Here is an 18,241-nt window from a genome sequence, read left to right as displayed (position 1 = left end):
GGCCAGGCGAGCTGGGCTGCCTTTAATTGGCTCCTTTTTTTAACTGGAGGGGAATCAAACAGGAGAGCGAGCGACAACGGGTGGGAGAGCGAGAGACCGAACGAGGAGACGCGAGGAGGAGGGAGGAGGAAGAGAGGGAGGGAGGCGGGAGGAGCGCGGAATGAAAAGCTCGGAGGGGCGAAAAAGCAGCACAGCAAAGCCCAAGTTGCTGAGCGAGCGGAGCGCTCCCGCGGCCCGGAGCCGAGCGGCCGCCGCGCCCCGGAGCCCGGCCCGGCCCCGCCCGCTCTGGGCCCCCGCAGGCCAAGGCCGCCGGGCGGGGGCGGGGACGACCAACTTGGGGCGCGGCGTAGCCCCGCTCTCCCGAGAGCTCGGAGCCCGGGAGGGCTACGGCCGCGGCCAGACGGCGGGAGAGGAGCGCGGCGAGCGGAGGCGGCGAGCGGCGCCCGCGCCGCAGCCCCGGCCTGGGCGAGAGCGCGAATATTTTTCAAAAGACTCAAACTTTCCTCCTTTCCCCGTTTTCTGGGGCCCTTCTTGCCTGGAATTGCTCTCCAGATTCCCGCGGGGCGCCGGGCTGCTATTCTTCCCCCGGGTTTATCGGCGGCTCGGCTAACTTCACGGACCCGGGGACCCGCGGCGCTCGTCCCTCGGCCGAACCCAGCCCGCGCTGCTCCCCGGATCAGGAGGGCCGGGCCCGGGGCTGCTTCGCCGCCGCGAGTGCTTTCAGCCCGGCCCCCTGGAGTCGGGCCGCTGAGCCCACGGCAGCGGCCGCAGGACTGGAAACAGCAGATTGATTAACTCGAGCGGAGCCCCGGCCTCCCCGACTCCGCTCCGCTGAGGGGCGGCCCCAGTGCGGGGAAACGACAAGTTTGTCAGTCGTCCGTGGCCTGTTGGATCGAAGCGCCGCCTCCGCCGCCGAGAGGTCCCCGGCGCCTAGCATCCCGCGCGGACGGCCCTGGGTACCCGGGGCGGCTCGGCGGCCGGGCTCCTCGGGTCGGGGCGCTGGCTGCTGTGCCGGGCGCGCCGAGGCACCCGGGGCTGGGCCAGCGCCCCCTGCGTCCCCACGCGGGCAGCGGCCCCGCCGGAGGAGAAACACGGGTCGCCGCCACCTCCGCCTCTTCAGTCTCCTGGTCTTCGTCGCCGCTCTCTCTCTCACCTCTCAGGGAAAGGGGGGGACATAGGGGCGTCGCGGGGCCCCGGCGAATGCGCCCCCCGCCGCCTCTCGGGCTGCGCCGCCTCGCGGGGATGAAGCACCGGCCGTGAAGATGGAGGTGACCTGCCTTCTACTTCTGGCGCTGATCCCCTTCCACTGCCGGGGACAAGGAGTCTACGGTAAGAGCCCGCGTCCCGCTCCACCTTGGCTTAACCTCGCGCGGAAACTTTGCAAGAGGCGCAAAGTGCGCGCTGCCGGGGTTTGGTGGAGACCTCGACTCGGACTCTGGAGTGGATGCCCGCGTCCCCGCCCTCTCCAGGGCGCGTGGAGACCGAGCTAGCTGCTTCGGAACACAGGGGCCGGTCGTAGGGTCTGGTGGGAAGCCGGGATGTCAGGAGGAGGCACCCACTTTCCCACACCCTGCTAGAGGTGGGAATGATTAGGAACCCTTGAGAGCACCCGGTCGGCTCGGGAGACCCGGACAGACCCAGTCTAGGACTGGTGCAGCGACTTGCACCGAAACCTCGTCCTGGCTCGGCCTCCGGAGTGGAAGCCAAGCGATGCATGAGCCGGAGTTGCCGCGCGGCTTGCGGGCGAGCCGGCTGTCAGCACCAAGGCCGGGCGGCGGGCTCGCCTTCCCCGCTGTTGCTGCGGCTTCGCTTCTTCTACTCAGGGCTTGACACCCTGATCAGGATGCCGGCATCCCCTGGCCCTGGCGCCTTCGACCCCGGCATCCCTTTTCGGACCTTCCCTGAACCAGTTCTTCCTGTCCCCGGTTCTTGGCTACAAACCCCAACCCCACCTTCCTTCCTGCGCGCACACACAGATACATTCAGCCACCATCCCCAGAAAACGCAAACACGGCACGCACCCACCGGGATACGTGTCCAAACTCTGCCTCCTGCCACGCAGCCTTGCTCCTGCGTCCGCACGCCTCGCTGTGGTTACCAAGGGAGACTCTGGTTACCCCTTCCCCCTTCCATCCTGTGGGTTTTCCCAGGGAAGGCCCGGGGCAGGCATCATCCATTCAGTCACCTGGGCTCAGCCTCCCGCAGTGCCTTAACCCCACAGCACAAAAAATCATTCTCAGGGGCCCAGTGGCCCTTACTTTGCTTTCTCTTTACTGCAGGATGGTTTGTCCAGGTCCCTTTTTAGTGATGTGTGGCTGGGGCGGGCAGGATTCTCTCTTTCCTTTTCTGTTGGGTGGAGGGACTAATGATTCCTCTTTTAGATCCAGGGGAGGTTGACCTGTTCTTTGTGGGGTAGTATAGGCACTGACTACTGGTTGCCAGCCTCAGGTGCTGAGGCTAAAGCACCCTGGAGGGTGCTGACCCATCTGCCTGTGCCTGGCAAGAAGAAGGGGTGTCCTGAAGGGTGTCTGAGAGGTGACATGCTCCTGGCCCTGCCCAGCTAGCTGGCTTGGCCTTAATTCTCTGGTAAGACTAGCCCAGGCATCTGGCCAAACTCTGCTTCTTAATTAGTTTGTGTGTCTCTTACTGCCTGGCCCCTCACAGAGGCCAGGAAAGGCAGGAAAGAATGCAGCAGGGACTGGGAGAGGCTGGGTTTGGGGCGAGGAGGCCACGGGGCAGGTACTGGAGGCCTTGGCCTCTCCAGGGCAGATGAAGATGCCAGTGGACTGGGGTTTCACTTTCTTCTTTCTCCCCAGGTCAAGGTGCCTAAGAGAGGTGCTGCTGAGGTCTTTGCCTTCTCACCACAGCCCCGGGGCTGGGGAGGGTGATGGAGAGCCCTTCCTGCATGCTGCTGTCCTCCACTCTACCCTCCTTCCCTGTGTCATTGGGTGCATTTGGCAAGACCCACTCCTGGTCATCCCTGTCCTCCATCCCCTCCAGCTTCTCCAGCCTTCTCTAGGCTGCTTGGGGCTCATCTTTGGGAGGTTCCTCTGTTCCTAGTCTAGTAAACCCAGCAATGAGAGTGGGGTTTGGAGTCAGGGGCAGTGGTCTCTGTGGACCCTCATTTCAGAGTACTCTAGGGCCAGGATTCAGCCATAGGCTTATCTATACCCTTTTCTCTCTGTGTTTTCTCCCCTCCCGCCTGTGCCTAGGTCCCATTTGCTCTCACTCAGAGCCAATCAAAGTGGGCTGGGTGTGCTGGGGCCGACCCTGGGCCCTTGGGTGACATGCCACTTTTCCTTTGAGAGCTTGGCTTCAGGCAGTGTTGGGGCTTCAGGGAAATTGCTGGGTAAAAAGTCTTTATTGAGGTGGATGAAGGCAGAAGATTTAGGAGGAGGAGGAGGAGGATGACAGGAGGTCGCTGAGTTCCTTGTGATGCTAGAATCTTTGGCCAGATACAGCAGAAGGGAGGATCTCTGTAGGACCAGGACTGGCTTAAGAAGTAGGTCGAAGATCTGGGACTAGTTCTTCTGCCCCCCTCCCCAGCAGTCTTTCTGTACCCGCGAAGCAGAAGAAACAGCATGAGAGTGAAGGCGGCACATAGGGACCAGGGATGGCCACTCCAGCCTGGCATTGCATCCAGCATCCAGCATGGTCCCCGGCACAACAGCAGGAGCTAGGCAGGTATTTGTTGAATGAAGAAAGGGCTATAGTTGGGGGCAGGTTGGAAATTCTTTCTCCATGAGAAGTCTCTCTAGGACTTGGTTTCCAGCAGGGCAGTGGGGGCATTGTTTAAGGGTCTCTGCTTAGGGCGAGTCACAGAGTCCTATCCTGCAGCCCTAGAAGAGAGAAGAGGCTGGAAGCCTAGTATTGCCCTGGCACTGGGGAGGGAGGCAGCAGGTCTAATTCAAGACATAGGAGAAAAATGTATATCCTGGGGAGGAATCCCCTGCCCCTGCCCCTCTGCCCCCAGACCTGTGTGGATAAGGGAGGGGCTGAACAGAGGGGAGGAAGACGAGCAGGCGGTGGAGAGCGAACCTGACGGCATTCGGCCTAGGCTGTGTGTCTCTGCTGAGGCTGGTAGGAGGTAGGTGCCTAGAACCCTATGTCCTGCTTCCCACTGAGGTCCACCACCTGCCCTAGGATCCATGGTCTGCAATAGGGCTGGGGAGGCAGCACTCTCAGTTTGGCCAGGTGGCTTTGTTCTTTGGGGCACAGATGCTACAACGGCCAAGTGCTGGACCAGATGGTCCATTTGGAGCCAGTTCTCCCTCCCTCCTCGCCTCCCAATCTCCTGGCCCAGTTTGTTGTCCTCTGGGGTGGATCCTGTAATCTGCTTTCTGGCAAGCCAGGGGGCTGGGCTGGCCCCAGTGGCCTAGTTCTGGGGCAAAGGCAGTAGCCAAGTGATGGAAGAGGAATATCTTGCATGCGGATAGCGTCAGGGAACACCCCGCCTTCTGTCCCGGCTTCTGCTCCTCTCATAGCAGTCGGACCGCAGGTCAGTGGGATTCCTCTCCCTTACAAAAACACAACAAACCCCTGAATTATTTAATATGCAGAAGTGGGAATTGACATTATCCTTAAGACAGGTTGTTTGCAACTTACTGGTGGAAGTCAAAATATTTCACCAAAGGTGTCATCAGAAACTACTATCCTATGTTAATTTTTGTAGGAACATGAAGACAGATGTTGAATAATTTGACAAGAGCAACACAGCTTACAGAATTATCACTAAGTCAGGTTTTTTTCCCTCCTCTGGGGAGCACGGAGAAGGAATTTCAGGAAGTGAGTGTCCCAGTGTCATCTCCCGGGTGTTGATCTGGGTGTGGGCACTTGAGGTTTTTCACTGGAGTTCCTACCCCATGCCTTGAAACTTTGGTTTCCTGGGGCTAACAGAGGCTTGGGGTTCTCTTTTGTCCTCGAGAAGCTCCGTGCTTCTGTTCCTTCTTTCTTTTCACTTACAGAAATTGCACAAGCGAGGGGGAGCACTTTGTGTCCACAAATCCAAGCTGCTTTGTTTGCTTTGCTGGTGTTACCTCCCCATCCCAAGTTGATTTTGGCCCTTTAGCCAGTGTGAGGGGTCCCCAGACCCTTGGTGTCAGGCTGGAGAGCCCCCGCCTTAGGGTCAAGATCCTCATGATGTCCCATCCGACATTACAGGATGGGAATCTGCTTCATGGGTGGGCGGGGGCTCTAGGTCAGGGGAGGAGGTCGGTTAGAGAGGATTTTGTTAGCAGGAAAGCATCCTTGAGGGGGTGGGCAGGGGAGAGCTGAGAGCTACTTGGCTAGGCCTGGCTGTGAGCTGCTGGGACCAAGGTGGCAAAGCCTCATTTAGAGCCTGGTATATTAGCTCTGCTTTGCTGGAACATGGAGGGACAGGCTGGGGGGGAAGGGGGGTGGAATCTGTAGGGAGAATGGAGGGAGCTAATCACAGCCGCCAAGGCCCGGCAAATGAATGATGCAGGAAATCAATACCTGGGGGCGGGAGTGGAAATCCGGGCAGTGGTAGCAGCCCCAGCTTCTCCCAGCTGCCCAGGAGGCATGGGGGAGGGCCTGGGAGGAGTGAGACAGAGGCAGGAATGTGGAAGACACCCCCACCCCAAACACCACTGCCCCCACGTCCCTGCCACTCCCCCCTGCCCCCCTCCCCACTTTCATCTCATGGCTGGGCTCATGAAAGGTGGGCTAGGAGATGACCCACCCGGTGAAGACAGAGGACCTAGGAGATGAAGTCTTGGGCCTCTCAGTCCTGGAAGAGCCCTGCCTCACCTCCCACCTCCGGACATCTGAGCCTGACACGGTCCCAGGTATCGGGTGTGTGTGTAACTGCCTACGGGCCCTGCCCTGTGCGGCAGCTGCTGCCGTTCCAGATGTGGCCAGCAGGGGGAGGGCTTGGCCGCCACATTGCATCTTGCCTTTCCTGGGCTCCTGTGGGCCTCACCCTATCTGAGGGATGAGTTATGCTCATTCCTCAACCTGGGGCTGAAAAGGGTTCCTTAGGGCCTTCTGGAACTCCAAGCCTCCCTCCAGCTCCCACGTACCCACCCCGGTGTCCCTAGGCACCTGCCCGTAGCCAAAGCCGCACTTGCTGTAATCTCAGATGAATCAGGTTTTCCCTAGGCGCCAGCTGGATGCTGGGGCTCAGCTTAGCCTAGTGGGCTCTTGCTCTGGTAAGGCTGTGGCAAGGGGAATGGGGGTGCTTGTGCCCTTGCAGAAACGCCTCTGTATAAACCTGGCGCATGGCCCCTCTTCTGCATCTTCTCCCTGTGGTCAGAAGACCCTGCTTTGCAAGCATACATCTGCTGCTAGAAGGTACTATGTACCAAGGGGCTTCTCTGGTATTTAAATGCTGATACAGGAGGCAAGAGCAAGGCTTAGCTCAAAGGAATGAATATTTTTGTTTTTCAACAATGAAATCTCATTTTTCCTCAAGTCTATGAATAACACTATGAGTAACTACTATGAGTAACATGTGCTCTTTGCAAAACAATCAAGGAATACATAAAAGTATAAAGAAAGAAAGTAAACCTCACTTGATAACCCACCATTCGTTTGGTCATGGTTTTTTCAGGGATCCTTTTGTGTGAGGGGGAATGAACCTTTTAGGGAGGATTGTTGGTCAGAACAACAATCCCTTATAAGTGTGTAAGTGCCACATGACTTACCAGGCATTTTCATGCCTCTGCAGCCTTTGCTTCCATGACGTTCTGAGAGGTCAGCACAAGGGGTACTATTGTCTCCATTGAACAGATGAGAAAACTGAGGTTCCAAGAGTTTTAGTGACCTGATCAACATTGCACAGCTGGTAAGAAGTAGCCCTAAGACTCAGTCCCACCGGATCTTCTGATTTGCAGGGAAGGAAAGCAGTGTGGTGTTCCTTTCACTCATCATTCATTAAATGTTCACTGAGCCTCTACCTTGAGTAAGACTCAGTTCTGGACATTGGCAGGGCTACTGAGATGAATAAGATGGAAGGAGAAGGGGAATCACATGTAAGGTAGGGGGAGATTTTGATAAATGTCATGTAGCAAGGGCGGATAAAAGGTTGTGAGAATTTGAAGGTTGAAGTAATTGCTTCCAAGGCCTTGTGGAAAAGAGAGCATTTGAACTGGCCTTGACAAATAGAAGTAAGGATTGAGAGGGGCATTCCAGGTGGAGGGCACATTGTGGCAAAGGCCTGGAAGCTAAGGAACCCGAGTGTGTGAGGAGTTCGTGAGCTGTTCAGTTGGGCTGGAGCATAAGCTGAAAGGGAACTGGGGCCGTTAGGGCTGGAACAGTAAAGGATTTTTTTTTTTTTTTTTGAGGTGGAGTCTCGGTTACCCAGGCTGGAGTGCAGTGGCACAATCTTGGCTCACCGCAACCTTTGCCTCCTAGGTTCAAGCAATTCTCCTGCCTCAGCCTCCCGAGTAACTAGGACTACAGGCACACTCCACCACACCCAGCTAATTTTTATATTTTTAGTAGAGACGGGGTTTCACCATGTTAGCCAGGATGGTCTCAATCTCCTGACCTTGTGATCTGCCTGCCTCAGCCTCCCAAAGTGCTGGGATTACAGGCGTGAGCCACTGTGCCTGGCCAGGAATAATATTAAACATTGCTAACATTGACTGTCCAGCCTGTGATCATAAGTATGCATTATCTTCAGTCTCATCACAACTCCTTGAGAAAGTCATTTATCAGTCCCTTGTCCAAGTGGCAGACCTGGACTTGAACCCAGAACTGCTCATTGCAAAGCTGTAAGGAGGATGTCAAACAGGGAGCTGGGTTGATGCAAGCCATATTATGGGCCAGGTAGCCATGCCGCTGTGTGTGGGAGGAGGCCGTGCTGGAGAGACTGTCAGGAGGCTTTGCAGTTGTCCAGGGGAGTCCTAGGGAGCTTTGTGGGCATCTGCAGGAGGTGTGTTCCAGGCAGAGGAATAGCCGCTGCAAAGGCCCTGGCCTGTTGGAGCAACAGTGAGGAGTCCAATGTGGCTGGAGCAGAATGAGCCAGGGGGAGTGCAGTAGAAGGTGGGGCCAGAGAGTTAGTAGGTCCAATCATTTGGAGCCTTGAAGGCTATGAAAGGATTCTGGATTTTGTTCTGCATGAGATAGGGGACCATGGCAGGGTTTTGAGCAGAGAAGGGACATGAACTGACACCTTTTTAATAGAACCTCTCTGGCTGTCATGTAGAGAATAGATGGTAGGGGTTTGAGGGTGGAGGAAGGAAACCAGTTAGAGGCTGTTGCAAAAGGCAAGACACAAGATTGTACCATCATTAAGCACTAAAAGTGTATCGGAAAGAGTTCAGGCAAGGAATAGGAGCTGCAAACGGCTCTGAGGTTTGGAGCTGGGAGACTTGGCACACAGTGATAACAGGTTGAACAAAAGCCACTGGAAGTCAGACAGGTTTGGGGAAGTGAAGTAGTTAAGAGCCTCGACCTCTGCATAAGAAACCTGGGTCTGAATCCCAGCTCTGCCCCACACCAGCTGTAAAAGCCCAGGAAGTTACATCTGCTTTCTAAGCCGTGGCTTCTCCGCTTGTCAGATGGAGATCATCGTACTCACTGCGTGGGCTTGTGATGAGACGGTGCTTAGGAAGCTCTGAGCACAGTGCCTGGCACGTAGCAAGGCCTCAGTAAATAGTTTTAGTGACAATGTGAGTGAAGTTTTGAACTTCATGGGATTCTGGCACTGGCATGTCTGGGGGGGATATCGACAAATCGGGTGGACAATGAGCACTGAGCTCAGGAGAGAGATCAACTCAGGAGAGGTAGATTTGCACATCTGGATTTATGTCTGCAGAAGGATGTGGGTTGAAACCATGAGGTGGAATAAAATTGCCAGGGATTAGAAAGTAGAGAGAAGGGATTGGGCTGAGGCCAGAGCCCTGGGGAGCACCAATGTTTAGGGGGCGGGAGGAGGCCTGAGAGGGGACATGACCCGAGGGTCTGTGACAGAGTCTGTGAGAGGAGGAGGAGGAATGAGAAAGGGCCACCGGGGGACTGGGGAGCTCGGGGCAGCTGCAGCACAGAGTGGGGCTCCTCAAACTTTCCCGTGCACAAGTCTCCCCTGGGATCTTGTGGAAATGCGGATTCTTGATTCAGCGGGGCTGGGGCTGGGCTGAGATTCTGCGTGAATCTGGTGGTGCCGATGCTGCTAGACCAGGGATTGCGCTGTGCAAAATGAGGGCTTCAAGTAAGAAGTCTGGACTCGGGTTGGAGGGCCAGGTGGGCAGCCTGTTGCCTCTGAGGGTCCTTGCCCAATGGCCTCGCCTCTCTGAGCCTCAGTTTCCCCATGTGAAGCCTGGTTTAGGCACGCTTACCTTTTGGGATTACAGAGAAGCCCAGGAGTGATAGCACTTTGTAAACTCGAAGGTGAACTATGGGGACTCCGTTTCACGAGAGCAGAGAGGGTGGCAGGCAGATGGCAGGGAGCTCCGGGTGTGGGTGGCATGTGGCAACAGGAGGTATAGGCTGTGCTTTTGAGAAATGTGGCAGGCCAGGGAGGCTGGAATAGCAGCTCCCCTTCCCCAAGCCCAGCCTTTTGCCTGTGAAAGGCTGGAGCTGCAGGGGTGGGTGACCTTGGTGGCTGGGTGGTGGCTTGAGCAGACTCGAGGGCACTGCTTGGCTGGCTTTGAAGATTCCACCCCAGGCTCTTCTTGGTTCCTTTCCAGGCCCAGAAACTCAGCCGAGATACATTAATTATCTGGAGGATTGGAAGCTGTGTAGAAAAGTGGTTCTCAGCCCTGGCGCATGTCAGAACCACCTGGAGAGCTTTTTCAACAACAGATGCCCAGCCCCACCCCGGGCCTCCTGAATCAGAAACCCTGCAGGTGGCATCAAGGCATCTGTGGTTGTAAGAGCTGTTTAGATGATTCTTGGGCACAGCTGGTGTAGACAGTGTGTCTGAAAAAGCCAGACCAAAACAGATGTCTTCTTCCCTTGGACTTTCTGAGGGCATTTCCTGGTTTTCCAGGTTACTGCCCAAGCTTAGTTTCAACAAAGTTCATCTGAACCCTGGAGTCTTGGGAAAAAAACAAAATCCACTGATTATTTTCTAAACTGTGAGCAAGGAGGCTTTCTACTTCAATGGTGCTAACTGGAGGGTCCAGGCCAAGAGCCCAGGAGACTGGCCCCTTTTCTGGCTTCTAACCAAGGGACCTCCCTTGGTTCTCTAGGTTTGGCTTCCCAAACCTAGAGAGATTGAAGGAGTCTCCTTCAGAAACACAGTTTTCTTTGATTTTTAATAGGTAAATTATGGTACCTTTTTGAAATGTGGCCCTTTTGTTTATTCTCTTTCCTGTTTGGTTAAGAATAAAGTGAGGCCAGGTGCTGTGGCTCACACTTGTAATCCCAGCACATTGGGAGGCTGAGATGGGAGGATCACTTGAGCCCAGGAGTTCCAGACCAGCCTGGGCAACATAGTGAGACTCTGTCTCTATTACAAAAAAACCAAAGAAAGTGAAAATTTCAGAGCTGGAGAACAAAGTAGCAATTCAATGTAAAACCAGCAAAATTGATTTCATTTGAGACAGGGTCTCACTGTCTTGCAGGCTGGAGAACAGTGGTGTGATCATAGCTCACTGCAGCCTCGATCTCCTGGGCTCAGGCAATCCTCCCACCTCAGCCTCGTGAGTAGCTGGGACTACAGGCATACACCACCATGCCCGGCTAACTTTTTTTTTTTTTTTTTTAATTTTTAGTAGAGATGGAGGTCTCACTATGTTGCCCAGGCTGGTCTCAAACTCTGGGCTCAAGTGATCCTTCCACCTTGGCCTCTCAAAGTGCTGGGATTACAGTTGTGAGCCACCATGCCTGATCAAAACCAGCAAATATTTAATGAGTACCCACTACGTGTCTGGAAGGGTGGTGGGTCTTGGCTGCAGAGGTGAAATGACATCTGTCCCCAAGGAGCTCACAGCTGAGCTGGTGAACACACAGCCTTTTCTAATGCCCTCATTTTCCAGATGGAGGAGCTGAGGTTCACATTGAGTGACTTGCCCAGGGCCCTACAGTTAGGCGGTGGTGGAGTCAGGGTTCGAACTCAAGACTGCCCAATGCAAAGTCCAGTGCCTGTCTACTTCCCCAAATGTGAGGTTTCTGAAGGCATTCCCTGGCAGATTTTTGTTCCCCAGCCTGTGCTGTGGCAGATGGGTTGGCCCAAGGGAGCAGCATAAGGACCCCCCAGGCCTGTTTGCTAGAAAGAAAGACCTGACCAGAAAGGCTTAAACAAATGATGACTTTCTCAAGTCTCAAGGTAGGTTCTCAAGGCTCCTTTCATCTTCGTGCTCTGCTCTTCTCATGGTGGTGGTTCTCAAACTTGGCTGCATGTTAGAATAACCTGGAAGGTTTAAAAAGTCCTGATGCTGGCTAGGCTCAGTGACTCACACCTGTAATCCCAACACTTTGGGAGGCCAAGGCGGGTGGATCTCCTGAGGTCAGGAGTTTGAGACCAGCCTGGGCAACATGGTGAAACCCCGTCTCTACTAAAAATAAAAAAATTAGCCAGGTGTGGTGGCGGACACCTGTAATCCCAGCTACTCGGGAGGCTGAGGCAGGAGAATCGCTTGAATCAGGGAGGCCGAGGTTGTAGTGAGCCGAGATCACGCCACTGCACTCCAGCCTGAGCAACGAGAGTGAAACTCCATCTCAAAAAAAAAAAGCCCAGGTTGCACAACATACCCATTAAATCAGAATGTCTAGGGGGTGGAAACCAGTCATCTGCATTAAAAAAAAAAGTCCCTACGTGATTCCAGTGTGCAGCAAAGGTTGGGAACCCTGCCTTTTGACATTTTGCCTCAAGGTCACCAAAAGGCTGATGGGGCTCAGCCATCATGAGACATTCCAGGAAGGAAGACAGCAGGAACCTTTAAAAGGCAGGCCTGTCGGCTGAGTCTGCTGTCTTTAAGGAGCTTTCCCAGAAACACCCTGCAGTGACTTCTGCTTACATCTTACTGGCCATTCTTAGCTTCAAGGCAGGCTGAGAAATAGGGTTTTTTAGATGGGCACATTCCCATCTGAGAAAATATCTGTATTCTGTTAGAAAGAAAGGGAGAGTGGGTATTGGGTGGGTGATGAGCAGTCTTTGCCACAAATACCCGTTTTAGGGGCAGTTGGTGTTTCTTGAATGAAAGGGGATTTAGATGAATGTGAATGACTGCTCTCCTCCTCACTCACCCCACTCTGCCAGCCTATCCTCACCTCGCCCCACTCTGCCAGCCTAGCTCAGGTGGGGTGGGGGTGGGGGTCCTGGCTGCTCTGAAGATGCCCAGAAGAGACCTGAGGAAAGACAGCGACCTAGAGGAGGGGGATGACTTGCTTGGGTCACCCAGACATTCAAGTGACAGTCCCACCAGCTTCCCGTCTGCCAGCGCCCCCCGACACTGTCGGTTCACATGTCCCTGGGATTGTTGATGTCTACCGGTTGGTACCTCTCTCTGCTAGCAGGTGTCTCCTTTCAGCCCCGAAGGCAGAAGAGCTCTGTGGTTCCAGAAAAAGCAGCCTCCTGATTTCTGGGAACAGAGACGGATGGGCTGTGTGAGAGGCTCTGGTCCGGAGGTGATCTAACTCATCTTTCTGCCTCTCAGCAGGCCCACACCCACATGAGACCAAGCAGCCCCACTGCTGTTTGCTCAGTGCCTCTGGTCCTTCATTTTGGGAAGTTCTTCCTATTGACCTTGTTTCAACTTTCTGTAACAACTTATCAGAAAGAAAGATTCAGGAACGGAGACCTCTGAGTTGAACTTGAGTAACTCCTCGGCCCTGAGACGCTCCTGAAGTGATTTTTTTTTTTTTAATTTTTTGAGACAATGTCTCACTCTTTCTCCTAGGCTGGAGTGCAGTGGCACCATCTCAGCTTACTGCATTCTCCGTCTCCTGGGTTCAAGTGCCTCAGCTTTTGAGTAGCTGGGATTACAGGCATGTGCCACCACACCCGGTTAATTTTTTGTATTTTTGTAGAGACGAGATTTTGCCATGTTGCCCAGGCTGGCCTCAAATTCCTGGGCTCAAGCAATCTGCCCGCCTCGGCCTCCCAAAGTGCTCAGATTACAAGTATGAGCCACTGTCCCCAGCTGCCAAGTGATTCTTTAGAAACTCTTGATGAAGGCATTTCCCCCATCTCTGAGAGGGATACTGGGCAGATAGAGATGGGGAAATGAATTGAATTTCAGTGGCCTCATCTACTTGGGTTTGATTCCGGTGTTCCAGTAAAATGCAGGGGACCTTGAGGAGGCCAGGTTACCTTCTGGCAAGATACATAAAGCCCATAAGGCAAGCTGAAGTTCTGTGCCACGGCAAGACCTGAATTCACTTTTCTTTCTGGAATAAGACTACAGGGTAGACACAGAGAAGGCCATGAGGAGGGGCACGAGGGTATGGCAAGGAGTGAGCTCAGCTGCCAGCCAGTGGCCTTCAATGACCCAAAAACAAATCTTCCAGATTCATTGCAGGAAGAAACTGAGACCGCAGAAGGCAAGTGGCTTATCAAGGTCACACAGCAATTAGGTGCCGAGGCTGAAGTTAAAAGCCATGTCAAAGGACTTTCTACAGCTTTCTTTCTCATTCTCCTGTGTCACCTCCCAGGCTTAGGGGAATCCAGGACATGTCTGCATGGCGTTTATAAGCTCATTGTGTGCCCACATCTCTATAATCCTTCCCCTACCCCTGTGAACCTCATTTCTTATTCTCAGACCTCATTGCATCCAGACTACAGAATCTGGGGCTCATTCTGGGTCTAGAACTCTGGTTAGATGTTAGAGGCCCTTATTGGAAATGTCAGGGCTTCCCCCGCCCTTGTGGGTAGGAAGGTGAGCCTGCTTGGTAGTGTGAACTGGAGGTTGCTGCCAGTCTCCACCGGGTCCAACATCTTGTCACACTGCCTACAAGTTCCACTTTAGAGTTATTAACAAGCTAGCTGGCAGAAGCACTGCCACTGTTTCCAGAAGGTTACTCTGGGAATACCTGGCAGCCCTAAGCCTTCTCCCGATGGCACAGGTTGGTTGATCAGATGAGCTGGATCTTGAGCCATGAGATTCAGGCAAGGAAGTTTCCAGGGGAGTGGTGGGTGGAGGAAGAGGATGATGGTGGGGTATTTGATATGTGTGTAGAGGGGTCATTAGGCAATATGTGGACTCTGTGTTGTGGCCATGTGAGAAATTTCGTAGTGGACACCATGGACAGTCAAAACACACTTGGACTCATAGTCTTAGTTTGGGTTGCCCCAGAAGTAGACTCTGAGATAAGGAGCTGAATGCTGTAATTATTTGGGAGGTAAGTCCAGGAAACTCTGGTAGAGGAATGGGGAAGCGAGACAGGGAAGCAAAGGAAGCCAGTGAAAGATGCCTTATCAAGTCAGTTACATCGGTGTCCCTTGGGGGAACTCTGGCATGCTTTGTGAAACACACTTCAGAGTTATCCCACCATGGGGTGAGGGAACTAGGGCATGTATACACCCACCCCGCCTCTGTCACTGGGTGAGGTTGCTCCTGGGGGTGTTAATTCCCGGTACTCCTAAACCACTGCACACACAGGCAGCGCAAGCTCTAGTGGCCAGAGATGGCCCTCAGGCAGAGAGGTGCCCGCAGGCATTGGCAATTGGGAGCTGGCTGGTGGTGCACTGAAGTGTTTAGGAGAGGGGGTGCAGGTGGGGCAGCAACAGTCTGTATTACATCTTGCCTAAGCCATGGTCTTGCTTTTTCAGAGCCAGCTTGCTGTGTGGAGCTCTTTGTTTTTAGATCTCATGTTCAGGGCTGCATGTACAAGCCTCCATTCCAGGCTGTAAACTCTTGCCTGCAGCCACCAGACCTGCTCACTGCTCATTTACTTCCTTGGATTTTGTGGCCAGAATCCAAGTGTGTCGATTTCTCCAAGACTCTCCTGATAGAATTCAGGCTCTCCCTGAAGGATGCCTTATACCTGCGGAGGACAGGGTTGAGCATCACTAAGGACACACCCAGAATCTACAGGGTCCTTTGGGCATTGCCAGGAGAGGCACCATGTTCTCCATCCCACTGAATTTAAAACCAACATAGAGGTGGGGACAGTCTAGACTAGAAGACTGCTCCTTCTCCCTGTAGGCAGGATTCTGGGTGAAACAATTGTTAGGGGTTAGAGGGTAATAAGGTCGACTGCATTCTGTCTACTTCCCTGCCCAGGAGCCAAGCCATGGGCTATGACCAGAGTGGCCTGCACCCCTGAATATACCTGAGCCTCATGAGTCCGGCTCAGAGCAGCACTTCTACCCTGTTGTATATTTCTCTCTCTCTCTTCACTAATAACTGGGACCTGAGATTAATTAACTAATTCAGTATTTATTGAACCCCCCGCAGTGTGCCAGACTCTGTTCTAGGTGCTGAGGATACAGCAGAGAACAAGACAGAGATGATCTAGAATCACAGACTTATAAAGTGACAGAGCCAGCGGGAATCTTAGGGCAAATCTAATCATTTGTCAGGAGAGAAATCTGTAGCCCAGAGAAAACAAGAGAAGTTCTCAGGCCACACAGCAGAGAGGGGGATCAGCCTGGAATCATGGAAGGTCAAAGGTAAAGGGCTTAGAGGTTGCCTGTTTCTACCTGTTCAGTTTTTTGTTTGTTTGTTTGCTTGTTTTTTGAGGCAGAGTCTCTCTCTGTCACCCAGGCTGGAGTGCAATGGTACAATCTTGGCTCACTGCAATCTCTACCTCTTGGGTTCAAGGGATTCTCCCTCCTCAACCTCCCGAGTAGCTGGGATTACAGGCACCCGCCACCACGCCCAGCTAATTTTGTATTTCTAGTAGAGACCGGGTTTCGCTATGTTGGCCAGGCTGGTCTTGCACTCCTGACCTCAGGTGATCTGCCCACCTCGGCCTCCCAAAGTGCTGGGATTACAGGCATAAGCCACTGCGCCCAGCCTACCTGCTCAGTTTTTAGAGGCAGAAACCAACGGCCAGAGGTGAAGGGTCTCACCAAGCTGGTGGCCCTGCTGTATCTGCCAGTGATTACTCTCTCTTCCACATCCATCTTCCAAGCCAGATCTAGATTCTCATTTGCAGAGGGGTGTGTGTGTGTGTGATGTGGGCAAGGGTAGTAAGCAGGGGACATGAGTAGCTTTCTTTTTGATCAAGCCATGCACCTCCTTTACTGTGCCTGCTGGCAAAGTGGCCTCAAGGGATACTAGGAGGAGCTTGCTACTGAGGGATGCCCCAATGTGCCCAAAGCACTGACACCCTTGTCTGGTTCACTCCCTCCTTTCTGGAGACTTGAGGGAGCAGGGGCTGCAAAGCCTGGCTGGGGTGAGGGTGGGCTTCATGCCCTCATTGTCCCCTCCTCCTCTTCTGTTGGAGATCAGTGTGTGTGTGTGTATCTGTGTATAGGGACCACTGGTATGAGATAAACTGCTCTCACTTGGTACCTCAACAGAAGCTGTAACATGTTCCTCCAGTTCTCTCTGCCTCGTGCAAGTGCACATTATTTGTATTTTTTGTGCATGTAATATACACTGGCATGTGTGTGCTGTAGGTGTGTATATGGGTGATGATGTTGCACACGATAATATGTATGTGCAGGGAACTATGTATATGTGTGGTAGGGGGTCCTACAGACCTCTTTAGGGGCTTCTCTGGGTCCACCTTTATCTCGCTGCCCCTCCAGATGGCCTCTGGTCACCTTTTTCTTGGTTCCAAGGCAGGGGGTGGGCACGGGCATCCAGCACCCTGGGTCATCAGTCAGGGACTTATGTCCAGCCTGGGTATGGCCCCCACCACCCTTCCTAGGAGACCTGAAGAGGGGGGGCAGGGGCAGGCCGAGGCTGGCCTGGAGCTCCTGGCTAATTTTCCTGGCCTCGATTGATCTAGCAGCTTCTCCTGAGTCTATTAGCAGTCCGCGAGTGAAAATATCCCCCATCGTGAGCCCTGACCTGAGACAGGGAGGAATCCGTAGCAATTTGTTCAAACAGAGGAAAGTGTTTCCCTCTGATTTGTATTCCAATTTACTCAGGCAGGAAGGGGGTCAGGGTAGGACCCAGGCACTGCCAGAGCTGGGCCCAGACCCATCCCCCTTAACCCCCCATGCCAGCCGGGTTGGCAGCTGGTCCTGCCCAGGTTTCCTGGGGGGGGGGGGCTGAGGAGGAAGGGTGGGCCCCAGTAGGGGACAGGGAGGGAGGTCTGCCAGCCTTCCCAGCAGGCCCTGCTCAGCTGGAGAGCTCAGTTGTGGATTTGGTTTTCACAAAACACAAAGCCGCCTGCTCGGAGCCTCTCTCCCAGGCACTGGGGCCTGCGCCAGGCGTGCGCTCACCCGCTGCGCCCGTGCCAGATCTGGGCTGGGCTGGGTGCATGGAGACAGTGGCCCCAGCTGGGCCAAGTGGCAGGGGGGCTGCTGAGGCCCAGAGGGGAGTTGGCACCTTTGAAAAGCGCTGGTGCAGTGTGGAGAGCCCCAGCACGGCCTTCCGATCCAGTGCTCATGCTTACTTCCCAGCCTGAGCAAACTGGGGCTCTGTGGTGTCCTAACCAGGCAATCTTTTGAGCACCTGCACTAACTACAACTCTGGTCGTATTAAGTACCTGCTGTTTGCCGGGCACTGGACTAGTGCTGCCAGGTGTCTAGTCCTTGCAGGGTCCGGTCGTCTTCATGTGCCTCAGTTTCCTCACTGGTGCTCCTCCCATCCTTTGCATACCTCTGTCACCTCCTTCATGCATCTCTGCTCAGCCCTTCTCACTTCCTCTTGGGAGGTGCTTCTCCCTTCTAAGGGTAGCCCTAGTGGCTGAGGGTCACAGGGCTGATGCCTCTGAGCAGGCTGGCTTCCTTTCTCCCCGATTGCTTCTTTTGGCCCCACCTTGCCCTCCCCATCAGGGCACAGGCCTCCACAGAGGTGGTGCCATGGCAGCTGGAGAGGAGGATTCTGGGAAGGGTCAGGCAAGTGATCCCGCACAGCTCACCTTCCATCCCCACCTTTGCCTTCCCTGGTGTGTCAGCGCCCCACCCCCGCCCCCGGGAGGGGAGTAACCAGAGAAGTTCTTCACACTGAGGTGTCAGTAACTAGCAGCTCTGAGGTCAGCTGTCACACATGACTTGCCAGGCTCCATGACACCATCGAGATCTAATTTCAGAATCAAGTAACTAAATATAATGAAGTCGATGAATAACCATCTCTCGCTCAGGTGGGAGCGTAGGGAGGCAGTGTGGCCTGAAGGATAGGAGCAGAGGCTTCTGAAACAGACCTGGGGTGGAGGTCTGCTCGGCCGCTCACTAACCATGTGATGATGGGCAGGTGTCGCACTGTGCCTC

At 54.2% G+C, this 18,241-nt stretch overlaps 1 protein-coding gene across 6 annotated transcripts in view, besides 9 other annotated features; it reads left to right on the top strand.

Annotated features, from left to right (window-relative positions):
* Positions 106–235: a silencer, noted in NCBI's record as "silent region_17150". NCBI's record gives its function as "represses an Ori minimal core promoter by ATAC-STARR-seq in GM12878 lymphoblastoid cells {active_cell/tissue: GM12878}" and the evidence as "EXISTENCE:reporter gene assay evidence [ECO:0000049][PMID:35858748]".
* The window catches only part of MDGA1 (MAM domain containing glycosylphosphatidylinositol anchor 1), a 67,205-nt gene continuing 49,154 nt past the window's right edge, over positions 191–18,241 (top strand). For 5 of the 6 annotated variants that reach the window (XR_926141.3, NM_153487.4, XM_017010734.2 and 2 more), the window contains exon 1: positions 191–1,329. Coding sequence is in view for 4 of the 6 variants with exons in the window: in NM_153487.4 (NP_705691.1) it covers positions 1,263–1,329 (67 nt within the window). In the remaining 2 variants the exon portion in view is untranslated. Of the gene's footprint in view, positions 1,330–1,766; positions 3,685–18,241 lie in introns of those variants that run through there. The other variant, XM_047418637.1, reaches the window with a different exon arrangement.
* Positions 256–325: a silencer, noted in NCBI's record as "silent region_17149". NCBI's record gives its function as "represses an Ori minimal core promoter by ATAC-STARR-seq in GM12878 lymphoblastoid cells {active_cell/tissue: GM12878}" and the evidence as "EXISTENCE:reporter gene assay evidence [ECO:0000049][PMID:35858748]".
* Positions 386–515: a silencer, noted in NCBI's record as "silent region_17148". NCBI's record gives its function as "represses an Ori minimal core promoter by ATAC-STARR-seq in GM12878 lymphoblastoid cells {active_cell/tissue: GM12878}" and the evidence as "EXISTENCE:reporter gene assay evidence [ECO:0000049][PMID:35858748]".
* Positions 576–635: a silencer, noted in NCBI's record as "silent region_17147". NCBI's record gives its function as "represses an Ori minimal core promoter by ATAC-STARR-seq in GM12878 lymphoblastoid cells {active_cell/tissue: GM12878}" and the evidence as "EXISTENCE:reporter gene assay evidence [ECO:0000049][PMID:35858748]".
* Positions 816–1,105: a silencer, noted in NCBI's record as "silent region_17146". NCBI's record gives its function as "represses an Ori minimal core promoter by ATAC-STARR-seq in GM12878 lymphoblastoid cells {active_cell/tissue: GM12878}" and the evidence as "EXISTENCE:reporter gene assay evidence [ECO:0000049][PMID:35858748]".
* Positions 816–1,567: a biological region, named in NCBI's record as "H3K27ac-H3K4me1 hESC enhancer GRCh37_chr6:37664283-37665012".
* Positions 838–1,567: an enhancer, noted in NCBI's record as "H3K27ac-H3K4me1 hESC enhancer chr6:37664283-37665012 (GRCh37/hg19 assembly coordinates)". NCBI's record gives its function as "activates a minimal SCP1, AML or CMV promoter by ChIP-STARR-seq in primed H9 embryonic stem cells {active_cell/tissue: H9 hESC(primed)}" and the evidence as "EXISTENCE:reporter gene assay evidence [ECO:0000049][PMID:30033119]".
* Positions 1,136–1,295: a silencer, noted in NCBI's record as "silent region_17145". NCBI's record gives its function as "represses an Ori minimal core promoter by ATAC-STARR-seq in GM12878 lymphoblastoid cells {active_cell/tissue: GM12878}" and the evidence as "EXISTENCE:reporter gene assay evidence [ECO:0000049][PMID:35858748]".
* Positions 1,568–2,297: an enhancer, noted in NCBI's record as "H3K27ac-H3K4me1 hESC enhancer chr6:37663553-37664282 (GRCh37/hg19 assembly coordinates)". NCBI's record gives its function as "activates a minimal SCP1, AML or CMV promoter by ChIP-STARR-seq in naive H9 embryonic stem cells {active_cell/tissue: H9 hESC(naive)}" and the evidence as "EXISTENCE:reporter gene assay evidence [ECO:0000049][PMID:30033119]".

This window comes from Homo sapiens, chromosome 6 (assembly GCF_000001405.40).
Source record: "Homo sapiens chromosome 6, GRCh38.p14 Primary Assembly".
NCBI classification, from domain to species: domain Eukaryota; kingdom Metazoa; phylum Chordata; class Mammalia; order Primates; family Hominidae; genus Homo; species Homo sapiens.
This window is presented reverse-complemented; position numbering and strand designations above follow the sequence as displayed.